The sequence below is a fragment of the Homo sapiens genome, chromosome 1 (assembly GCF_000001405.40).
Source record: "Homo sapiens chromosome 1, GRCh38.p14 Primary Assembly".
Taxonomy (NCBI): Eukaryota; Metazoa; Chordata; class Mammalia; order Primates; family Hominidae; genus Homo; species Homo sapiens.
The window spans coordinates 213321230-213333791 of record NC_000001.11 but is presented as its reverse complement, the minus strand read 5'-3'; the positions used below and the strand labels follow the sequence as shown (position 1 = coordinate 213333791).

At 44.4% G+C, this 12562-nt stretch overlaps 1 protein-coding gene across 4 annotated transcripts in view, besides 1 other annotated feature; it reads right to left on the bottom strand.

Annotated features, from left to right (window-relative positions):
• Positions 1-12562, bottom strand: part of RPS6KC1 (ribosomal protein S6 kinase C1) — an 811495-nt gene that overhangs the window by 528944 nt on the left and 269989 nt on the right. The window lies entirely within an intron of this gene.
• Positions 6001-9023: an enhancer, noted in NCBI's record as "VISTA enhancer hs1324". NCBI's record gives its function as "enhancer in: forebrain[6/6]" and the evidence as "EXISTENCE:transgenic organism evidence [ECO:0001131][PMID:17130149]".

The following is a 12562-nucleotide window of genomic DNA, read 5'->3' as shown; positions in this document are numbered from 1 at the left end:
TCCTGAATAGCTTCAGGAGGCAGGAGAATTGCTTGAACCCGGGAGGCAGAGGTTGCAGTGAGCCGAGATTGTACCACTGCACTCCAGCCTGGGTGACACAGCGAGATTCCATCTCAAAAAATAAAATAAAATAAGATAAAATAAAAGCCAGCCCTTCTTGTTATCGAAATGTCCCTGACCTGCAACACGCGGCACCACAGGTACATAGGAAAGAGCTTAGGAACAGTCCCCTGGCTACACCATACCTGAAGCACGAAAACCTGACCCTGAGCACCTCGCAAGACAATTCCACACAGCTGGAGAAATCACTGGGGTTGATCGTTCTGTAGATCAACTTCTGTCTCTAGGAATGGACATGAATGTTTCCACTAAACATGAAACAATCACCACATGGGTAAGTCTTATTTGCTTAACACAGTGATATATCAGGGTTCTCCCTTAACTCATGACACGCATTCCATTCCACCACATCCAGCTTTTCATTTATAAAAACCATAGATCTCCAAGTAGCAAAAGAAACAGCAGGAATTGTGGTCATAAAAAGGACAAGGAACGTACAAGACCAGTTGGCTGGCTCCTTCCTGTTGTAGAGACTTGATGGTTTATACCTATTCACAAGAGAAATGCCGGAATAGCTATTTATCCTTAAATACATAACTATTAGCCCAAGAGTCACCTATGGATGGAATAGAAAGAAAAGAAACACATTTGAGAAATAGTTTGGAAGGTGGAAACAATAAGATTTTCTCACTGATTGGATGTGGAGTCGGGTGTTCACAAACAAGAAGAGACCTGGTGAGAAGTCCCATCTGATGTCCAGCCCATTGCTCTGCCAGTTGTGCCACTTGCCCCCTTGGAACCCTGAGTTTCTTTCCAACCAAGTAATGTTTCCTCCTCCTAACCATGCCATGGTTAGAAAAGCCACTGAGGGGCTTGTATCATTTTTGTCAACTGTTATGCATCAGTAGTTATGCCTGGATCTGTCCTGCAGTAGGTATGAAAAGTATATAAGGAAGAAGTTGTCCTGCCAGCACCATCTGAGGTCGGCCTTCTGGGCAGAAGTGTGATCTGTGGTCAGGGCAGAGAAGACACCCCCTCCACTCTAGAAGGAACCCACGACCCAGCTGTGCCTCTGCCACAGCCACCACAGAGGAGCTGACTAAATGGTGTTGAAGCAAACAGTTTACCTACCTGCAGGATCTGGCCCACACCGAATTAACTAATGAGACTCTTCCTATAGGCCTCTCTCAGGCCAAATTCCTGGGCACTGCTGGCCGTCCTGCTGCCAGAGATGGATTAGAGTCCCCATCAGAGTAGCATATGTCTTCTGTGGCATTTCTTTTATTTTGCATATACAGACAAGCATGCCCTCCACTGCCATTTGATTGGATCGCTGTATCAACAGCATTTTCAAAATGACAGCTAGTGCAGAAAAGGTATTTTAAAAGGACTGTGAATCCTCCTACCTAAAAACATATCTCCAGGGAGGGTACACCACTTAATACACTGAATTCAACCAAAGTTTGGTGGGTGCCAACGATGTACAGTGTGCCATGATGGGCCCTGGGCAGGTGGCATAAAATGACAGAATTGTTAATGTTTTAACTGAAATTTACTACATTTCAGTTGGTTGGCTCTGTCCTTGTAACACCCAAGTTATGCATCTGAAACATTGGGATGGTCCATTATCCAACCTGGGACACATGTATGGAAATTTTTTTCCAATATAGGATTTTTCCATTGTCTTTTTTTTTTTTTTTTTAAGATCTTGTGATGCCCCAGATAGTTACCAAAATAACCAATGGCCGCAACATCTGGGAGCCCAAACAGACACAGGAAAAATACAGCAGAAGGGGAAGATCCACAAAAACAGGAAACATGGAGAGGAGAGTAAAAAGATGTCAAAACAAAGGCAGCCTGGGCAGGCAGAGAGAGGAGGCCAGCAGAGAGGCCATGAGCTCAGCTGCGGGGACAAGTTCCTCAGGAGTCTTCAGAGAATTGCAGGGTGACGTAGGCCCTGGCCCACACAAAAGGACCCTGGCCTCTTCACCTCTGTTTTACACACAGTCATGGCCTCCTTCAAAACTAAATAATAGCAATGCCACCGACTTCCCTGTGCAGACAGCTCTCCCTGCCTGTCTGGGCCTACCAGCCCCCAAACATCTGCAGACGTGGAGTGACAGACAAGCAGTGCACAGGACGCAGGTGCAGAGGCCTGGCTCTACCTAGGCCTAGCCTCCTTACAGATGCTCTCCACATGCCCCCATTCATCTCCTTCATCCCTGTGTCTCTGCACCGGCACTGGCCAGGCCCATTCATACTAGTGGCTCAATTAACCGTTGACTCGTCAGAACTAAAATGGCTTTGACCCCACCATCCAATACTCTTACCATACTATTTTCATTTCTTAATCTTGGTTTTCAGTTCCAACTAGAGAAAAGTACTCACCCATAGGTGAGAGGGCCAGCACAAGGAGACCCCTCCTGCACAGAGTGGGCACCCAATGTTGTTGATTAACTCATAGACAAGCAGAACTTTAAGACTTGGATGGAGACCTAGAATTCAAGAAGTCCAACCTTCTTTTTAAATATGAATCCTCCATACATCATTAAATCAACAGATAGAAAAGTTTTAGCTTACTAGTCTCCTGTGCCAGCACATTAGCAGTCAGAAAGGGGCACTGGCTCACCTCCAACCATGTACAATGCAATGGCTAAATGTTTATTTCTCTCTTTATTTTTTTCTTTACTAACAAAAAGCCAACCATCACATCCTCTTCTCTCTTCCTTCTTCCATGCACCAGGATAAAATGCCACCTTCTCTTTCTGCCTTTCCAGCAGATTGCCTCAGTTGTGAATGGCTCAGCAGAGATGTGATCTCCTCTTGCTTTAGTGATCACCCTCTGAGAGTAGCCACCAGTGCCATGAAAAGTTCTCCTTCTAGGAGAAAATGAAAACATTTAAATCCAAGAGCCAGTCACTTAAACCATGGACTCCTCACCGTTCACCTTCTCAAGAAAAGAAGTGATCGCGGAGAGCAAAGTGGACAGCACCCTGTTCCCACGAGTTTGTGGAAATTTCCTTCTCAGTGCTCCAAGCTGGTCACCACTTTGTATGAGTAAAATGAGAAGGGGCGCAGGGTGGTTTTCTATTGTTCCAGTGATCATACTAACTCAGTTTTAACACCAACTTCCCTCCTCTTGAGCCCAAGAAGGGGTGGGGGCATTGCTCAACATCAGTCACCAAAATCAATGAGACTTTCACAACCCCGATTGCACACGGATCTAGAATAGGTGCTGTGCAGAGGGGAGCTTCTATTAGGGAGCTTCTGGTGTAAGCCACAGACATCCAGTCACCTGTCTCAGCACTGTAAGCTCATTGTTTACATGTCTCTCTTCCCTACTAGACTCCAACAGAACACTGATTGAATTATCTGATATCCTAGTACCCAGCAATAAATGTGTATTTGTGCTAAAGAAATACTAACCTGAGACATGAACAGAGAAGCCAGTTGGTGGCATTTACAGATAGAAGGTCGGTAACCCAACTTGGAGATGAGGGGAAATAAAGCATTTTGGAACTAAAATCCCAAGTCCGTATCACAGATGGATGGGAGGGGAGATGGGAATAGGTTTCTCCTGTATCCCATGGGAATCTTTTTCTTTGAGCTGTTTAAAGTTAAAAGTAATGGCTAAGGAGCCAGGGTGGACACAATACCCAGTGTGAATGGGCTTCCATCTCTCCGGTGCCCCTGCGGGAGGCCCTCCACCAGGCTGGTAGAGAGGTCTGTGGCGGGAGCTTTTCCGCACAAAGCGACCTCCCTCTTGAACCCTTCTCACTTCAGGTTTCTTTGAGAGGGTGCCAAGGTTTCACTTGCCGGCTCAGAGAGCAGCTCCTTCCTATGTGAAAGGAAGGGTAGGAGGAGATTTTGTCGCCTGTGTGACTGGGAGGGGTTGGGGGGGTCCAACGGTGAGACCCCAATAGAAGAAGGACCTCGGACAGCTGTCTGCCAAGGCACAGAAGAATGTCTTTCTTACTTTATGAGAAAGAAAACAAACAAACAAACAAAAAGATCTAAGGAAATGGGAAAGAAAGGTAACCATGGAGCTTTTTCCAAGGAGCCTAAGACAGCTATCTCCGCCAGCCGGGGAGTGGGAAAGTTCAGCTTTGTTCTGATGAAGGGATATGAGGCTTATTTGGACCAGAAAAAAAAAAAAATCAACTGAATAATCAGATGCCTCTGGACGGGCTACAGAAGGCTCTATCTGGTGGTGTCCATTCTGCCTGCTGGCTTCCTGCAGAGATGAGAGCCTCCCCCAAGACAACTGCCATTCTCCAAAAGTCGAGTTCTTGGCATGGAGCTGGGGCCCTCATGATAAGGGATTAGATGGTCTGGGGCCTGCTCTGGCCTTCTCCCTGCCAGCTCCACATGGAATTAAAATGCCCAGAGCCAAGCTGCTCACCCAGAACCTGCACCCTACTCCACTTCCCACTCCCAATAAATCTGTGACTCCATGGGTCCCCTGCAGTTGGAAATGGGATCAAGGCCGTTGGGAGACACCTCACTGAGTTTCCTGGAAGAAAGGAGTCGTTCCAAAGGTAAGACTGAGAAAAATAATAAGCCCCAAGATGAATTTAATTTCCATTTATTTTACTCATGGCAAGTTCCAGAAAAGGAAGAATTTGTTTTATTTTGTTATAAAACAAAATCAAAGTGGTACTCTAACCAGCAGAAAAAAACGTCTTCACTTCTCTGAAGAAAGGTACCACCAGCACCACGCCCTGGTTAGGGGGCTCAGGGCTAGGAGACGGAACTCGTAGCAGTTGGAATCTTGATCTGTATAACATGCACCTTAAAAGGGCATGATCAAAACAGAAACAAATGTTTTTCTGTGTGACCCTCTCTGTTTACTCAGCTCCTAGAAAAAAAGCAGTTAACCTACCATGTCCATGCACTTAGTAGGGACCACCCTGGCATTTCACTCCATATTCCAGCCATTGTAGGGTCCATTTACAGTGTCTTCTCTGTCTGTAATAAGGCAGTAAATGACACAGGACAGTGTGTCAGGTCACACAGGGCCCATCTAACCCCCACTGTCTAGAATGTCTTTCCTTTCTCCTCTCCCCTTTTATTCTCGTCCCCTTCTCTCTCCCCACTTTTCTCACACTGCTGAGACCTCTCAGTGGTTCCTACCCACACCTAAAGGACTATACAGAAATATATAGCTGACTTTGTGCACGTGTGTGTGTGATATATATATATATATATATATATATATATATATATAGTATAATGGCTGACTCCCAGTTCCTACTAAGTTGAACACAGACGATGAATTCAGGAAAATAAATGTCTTTCCTTTCTGTGAAGTCAGCCCCACGCTTACCCATCCAATGAGCACCAAACTTAGAAAGGTAAATTGGGCAAAATGTCTTTGTAACTTAAGGATAACAATGGCCTACATTTTAGCCTCCAGGAAGCGTTGTTATGGTATCACAGCACAGCAAAGTAACTTGGGTAACCTTTCAGAGTCCACCGTTAATGTGACAGGACCTTAGGCAGCATTAGGTTTCAGAAATAACTTGTTTAAACAATAAAAATGTATTGCATGCCTATTGAAAGCCAGATAGAGATGTAGAAACTGGGGATACGGAGTTGAAACATACAGGCAATCCTGCCCCGCTCTCAAGAAACCTACCTTCTAACATGGGCGACAGCTACCATACATGTAAATTTAAAAAATAAATAATACTAAAAAAATAAATTTCAGATAATGGTAAGAGTTATAAAGGGAATACAAATGTAGTCCCAAGAATCAGATGGGGTGAACAGGTGACCATCAGCTGACTTTTGGAGGGCAGAGCTGGCCCCTCTGAGGACATGGGATTGATGAGGAGATGACTGATGAGACGACCAAGACTTGGAACGATCTGGGAAAGGATTGTCTGGCAGAGGGAACAGCAAAGCAAAGGGAGGTGGGATAGAGAAATGTCAGAACAAACCTGGGTGAATCCACTTTGCCAATTACTTTTCAACAGTATTAGAAAAGTTACCTCTCTGAATACTTTTTCTTCCCAAATAGAAATCAATCATAATTTATTTCCCAATTTCTTCCCTGTCAGTGCCTCTTGTCTCATACTGAACCTTCTCCTCCCTCTTCCCAACCCCATCCCCAAAACACACACATACACATGCACACACACACGCACGCACACACAACTAGTAGCAATGCAGGAACTTCACAGAGAAAATGAAGTTCTGTCTTCAAGACCTTAAGACCACCCGCAAGTCAGGCACATGACCAAAAACCTGAGTGGAATGTGTGAGTCAGAGGCCCCATGGCTGGAGGCACATGCCAAAGTGCCAGAGAAAAGAGAAGGAAGCATTTGTGAGACTGCTCTGCATGGTTTTGTTTCTTCTTCCTTGGTTGTGTATGAACAACACTGGATAATATTGTGCTTTTTTTTAACGGATTAAGAGTTAGTTTGAGGCAAGGAAGGTATCCCTGTGGTTGGAAAATAGAGCTTCTTTCTTTCTTTCTTTCTTTCTTTCTTTTCTTTTCTTTCTTTCCCCATTTGAGCAGCTTCTCCCTCCTCCTCCCTCCAGTCTAGGGCTCACACCCCCGCACTGCAGGCTTGTGCAATCTTCCCATTTCCTGCATTTCATGTGAAGGAGCATTCAAGAGTTGGACAACAAGGGTTTAATTCAACTTGACCATCTTCTCAAAAAGAAAATTAAAAAAAAAAAAAAAGAAAAAGAAAAAAGAGGAAGAACAAAAGTTGGGAGAGGCCAGACTAAATGGATATGATCTGAATGCATATTTGTGTTACAACTAATACAACCAGCATCAGAGAGGGACCAAGATCAAATAAATGGTAAAACCTGACAAAGAGAAGAATAGATGGTATGTGGAGCCATCTGTTTTGGAGGACACCCAAATCTGTCTGAATCTGTGAGGCCAAACTACCAGCTATTCTAAGACACCCCATTCCAAGAGTGGCCTAATGCGTATCTACACAATCAGTTTCTCTCACCATCACTTTGGCTGCAACTTTTTTGTGCAATTAAGTAATTTATTCCTTTCTTCAGCCTCCTGATTCTAATGAATCCGAGCCACAAACAAGCCTCAGTTGCTCCTATTCAAGGAGTCTGATTGCATCTGGCAGTGATTGCTGAAAATCCTGAAGAGGAAACAGGGAAGGGAAGCATATTGTTTGGGGGGGTAATAGGTGAAGACCTGCCTCTCTTGACCTATAATACATTAGTGTCAGTGAACATTTGGCAGCCTTCAGATGATTAGCAATGAAGATGAATCAAGCAAAAAAGAGGTAGAAATCTGCCTCATCTGAATCACCAGAACTGCATACATTTGCATGCTGATTAGCTGTTCTTTTGTCTGTGTTCCTAATTATTATGACACATTATGTCTTCATCATGCAAGATTCTGATCTGTCTTGTTCAAAATGCATGTAGAAAAAAGTGCTGTTTATTGATTCAACATGTAACTTTTATTTTTATGTTTGCTTTAATTAAATACATATTTGATTGCCTTTGACTGCTGTCTTTTTTTTCTTTTTTCTTTTTTTTTCTCTTATTTATTTCATCTTGTTGACAAACACACAGGTAACCTTCCTCTATCACACTCAGATCATTTGGTGCTCACAGTCTCTCTTCCCCCTCTGCCTCCCGCTCTCTCTTTCTCAGGTGCTCACTTTCATTTTCTTGAATGGGCAAAACAGAAGAGGAAAAGAAAACAAAACAGCATCCCTAGTAACACTGAAGAAGAGGGAGCTGAGGGGTGGGAGAAACCCTGAAGAGGGAGGGGAAATGGCTCCAGCCTTAACAAGAGCAAACAAATGTTTCTGACTCTGGAGAAGGGCTTTCCAGGGGAACATGGGCAGCAGAAGGGGGTTGAAGATAACATGATCCTGTGAACGAAAGAAACCCTCTGTCATTCTCAGTTGTCCTCACAGGTTACTTATGACCAAGGTTTGTGAGCAGGACACAAACATGCCTGTCTCCCAGGTCAGGCCTCTAATTTTCCCATAAGGCCCAGGAGCGCTGCCGGAACTTCCAATAGGGAGGGGACCTGCTTTCCCAGCGGACTCTGCTTAGATCCACTTCCTTCCTCTTTCCCAGAAGCGGAAGTGGTGGGGAAACTTACCATCTATCCGTGCCAGACCCCTCAGGCCCCCCAGGGCAGTTGGGAAACCAACATCTCCGGGGGCAAGGGCACTAGAAAGAGAACTCTAGAAGGAGGGACCTCCCCAAAAGATGCAAAGTGCATGGAGCGCGTACCCTACTGCCTGCTGGGGCTATTCCCTGCAAACCACTGCGGATTCTTTTAGTAGGAGGGTGGAAGGCAGTATGGGCAGAAAGGGAAAGGTATTTGTTTCTGCAGGTTACAGCCAACTCAAACCCTGCGGTCCTTATCACCCTCCACCCAGGGATATGCTAAACAGCTGTAGTTAGCACCAAGCTATTTGGCCAATCCAATCAAGACACTTAGAAAGCGAAAGAGGAAGGGCCGGATGCCGGAGTAATTGAGTGCGCTGAGGGTCCGTAGATGCTCAGAAAGAAAGCGGGGCCCAACCAAATGCAAATGGCTCCTCGCTGAAGAGGGATAATGCCCACCGCTCTTCCCTGCTAATGGGCAATGATTGGCTGGAAATGTAATCAACAGCTCTGCCCCCAACATCTATCCCTACAGTGAGGGATGATGGAAATCCATATTCATGAGAAAGCAGGCCAGCAATGTTTACTGGGTGCAGAAAGGGGGCAGGGCTGGCCTGGGTGAGATTGAGGTCCTTGGAGAGCGATAATGAGGCTGGGAGCAGGGAAAACGGTACTGTTAGAGCCCCCACCCCACGGCAGCCCTCCCCTCATATATCTGCCCCCCATGTGTACACACATGTCCTCTGAACCTGAGTCTCAAGAGAACTCTCAGTGTGGCAAATCCATAATTCACCTAAGCAGAATGTCTAGCTGGGTGCCGCCATCTCACAGCTTCCTGTGTGAAAGCACTCACTATCCTCCAACCCCCTCCCCGCCAAGCACCACAAGATTAGTAGGAATAGATATGAAGCAAATGGTAACAAAAGGTACAGGTATAACACAGACATCTTGAAATCCATCTTGGAATTCCTCCATCAAACGTTGGGTTATCTAAGCTTAAAAAAAAAAAAAAAAAAAAAAAAAGCATATCGAGCATTACACTGGGTTGAATAGTGTCTGTATTAGCATGCTAGGCCTGCCGTAACAAAATACCACAGACCAGTATTTTCCAATAGACCTAAGCAACAGACATTTATTTTCTCATAGTTCTAGAAGCTTGGAGTCCAAGATCAAGGACTTTCCATCTTGAGATCATGTCTTTTTTATATCTTGGATGTTTAAATATCCTACCTAAAATGAAATAAAGGCAATAAGATATGGTAAGAATTATTCTAATGCCCATTCTTAGCAAAATGAAAAGCTGGCAATCTTCTGACTGGCCCCAATTAAAAAATAAAAATCCATGACCTGTTACTTCCTCCAGAAATCCTCTCCACATTCCTCACTCCGTTGGTACTGATGCATAAATCTTAACATTTGATTTTTCACTCACTTATATTTAGCTCTATAATTGTTCTCTTATTCCAAATACATTGCAAGCTCCTGGAGATAAAGACCATGACTCTTATATCTTTTATTTCTGCTTTTATAGCACAGAGCAGTGCACTCAGCAAATGCCCAGTAAATGCTAAATGAATGAATAAAATAATAAACAGATAAAGTTAGTAAAAACTATCCCACAGAGGATTTTTAGGGCAATGGAAATATTCTGTATGATACTATAATGGTGGGTACATGTCAATAAACATTTGTCCAAACTCATAGAATGTACAACACCAAGAGTGAACCCTAATGATGATGATGATTATGATGTGTCGATGTAGGTTCATTGATTGTTAAAAATGTATCACTCTGGTGGGGGATATTGATAATAGAGGAGACTATGCATGAGTAGGGTCACGGAGTAAATGAAAAATCTCTGTACCTGCCTCTCACGTTTGCTGTGTGAACCTAAAACTGCTCTAAAAAAAAATAAAATCTTGAAAAAAGAAAAACTTCCAACAAGTTTTCAATGGCCCCAGGAAAAAGTAGGAATTTATAACGGGGCAATAGGGACTTGATAAGTTTCTATGGTCCCTTCCCACTCCAACTGTCTATGGTTCCTCAGTTTGTGCATGAACCCTGGGGATGAGGAACAGATGCTAAATCAGTTGAAATGATCACGGAAAGGGGGATGCCTTTACCACAGGCCCAGACAGTATGGAAGATTCCATGCTGAAATTGGTCCAAGATGTGTGGCAGCTGGATACATCACCAGGATCCACTGTTTCTCACCATCTTTGCCCCTGCCACCTTCATCCTGCACCTGCCTTCGTGCTTCTGCCTCTGTGCTAGTCTTAATGATGGCCTTACAAAGATGTTCCCAACCGAATCCCCAAAACTTGTGAATATGTTACCCTATGTGGCAACAGGGACTTTGTAGATGTGACCAGAGATCTTAAAACAGGGGAATTATCCTAGATTATGGGGTGGGTCTAGTATAATCAGAAGGGTCTCTATATGGGAAAGAGGAGGGTCAGAGTCAGAGAAGGCAATGGAATGACAGAAGCAGAACTCAGAGAAAGAGAAAGCTTTGAAGATGCTATGCTGCTGGCTTTGAAAACAGAGGAAGGAGGCCCAGCGCAGTGGCTCACACCTGTAATCCCAGCACTTTGGGAGGCCGAGGCGGGTGGATCACCTGAGGTTAGGGGTTCGAGACCAGCTTGACCAACATGGTGAAACCCTGTCTCTACTAAAAAAAAAAAAAAAAAAAAAAAAAAAAAAAAGCTGGGCATGGTGGCGGGCACCTGTAATCCCAGCTACTTGGGAGGCTGAAGCAGGAGAATCACTTGAGCCCAGGAGGCAGAGGTTGCAGTGAGCTGAGTGCCACTGCACTCCAGCCTGGGCAACAAGAATGTAACTCTCTCAAAAAATAAAAATAAATAAAAAATAAAGAAGAAGGAGAAAGAAAATGGAGGAAGGAGCCACGAGCTGAGGAATTCTGGCAGTCTTTGGAAAGTGGAAAAGTCTAGAAAATGGACTCTCCTCTAGAGCCTTCAGAAAGAACACCATCTTGCTAACACCTTGATTTTACGACTTTGACCTCAAGAACTATAAAATAATAAGTGGGTGCTGTTTTTAAGCCACTACATTTGTGGTAATTTGTTAACAGCAGCAATTAGAAGCTAATACACCCTTCTTACTGGTCTACCGGCTCTGCCCTTGTCTTCTGTGGTCTATTTCTAAAACAAAAGCCAGAATGATCCTTTTAAAACCTAAGTCACATTATGCACCTGCTCTGCCCAAAATCCTCCTATGGCACCCTATCTCAGTGTGAACTACAAAGTTCTTAAAATCTCCCACTTGGGCCTACCTGACCTAGCCCTCATAATTTTTTTTCTTTTTTGAGACAGAGCCTCACTCTGTCACCCAGGCTAGAGTGCAGATCACTGCAACCTCCGCCTCCCAGGTTCAAGCAATTCTCCTGCCTCGGCCTCCTAAGTAGCTGTAATTACAGGCGTGTGCCACCACACCTGGCTAATTTTTGTATTTTTAGTAGAGATGGGGTTTCATCACATGGGCCAGGCTGGTCTCAAACTCCTGACCTCAAGTGATCCTCCCACCTCGGCCTCCCAAAGTGCTGGAATTACAGGCATGAGATACCATGCTGGGCCAGCCCTCACAACTTCTGAGGCTCCCTCTTACCCTACCCCCTCTCACTCATTCCACTCTGGCCTTGTTGGCCTCCTTGAGGCCCTCAGCATCCTTCTGTCTCAGGGCCTTTACACTTCCTGTGCCTCTGCCTAGAAAGCTCTTTCTCCAGACATCCCACAGCTAGCTTCCTTAGCTCCTTCATGTCTTTGCTCAAATGGCATCTTCTCAGTAAGGCTTTCCTTAAGTGTCCCATTTCAAAAGGAAACCCCTCTCACTTCCTGTCTTTCCTCCCTACCTAATGTCTCTATGGCACTCAAACTCTCTGACATACTACATATTTTACTCCCTGCTTATTTATTTCTTGTCTCCAATAGAACATATACTTCATTAGGACCAGGATTTTTGTCTATTTTATCAGCAGCATCAAATCAGTGCCTGGTCCATAGTAGGTGCTCAATAAATACCTGCTATAATTAATAAAGGATCACTCTCTGCCAGCCTTTCCCTACAGGAGCAATACTAATATTGCTCCTAGGTCACATGAAATGAGAGAACAAAATACTAATAAGAACTACAATCATGCCAACCATGGTTACATCACTGGGTACTGATTAAGTGCCAGGCATTGTGGTAAGTGCTTTACATGTATTAACACAGTTAGTCAGATCACAGTGGTTCTTCTCATGGGATCCTCAAGGGAACACCTCAAGGAGCAACAAAATTCAAAATATACGGTGGGAATTGCTGATTTCTGATTAAGGTCTCAGATGATTCAGAGCAAAAGGAAGAAACTATCTACCCAGAAAAACTTATA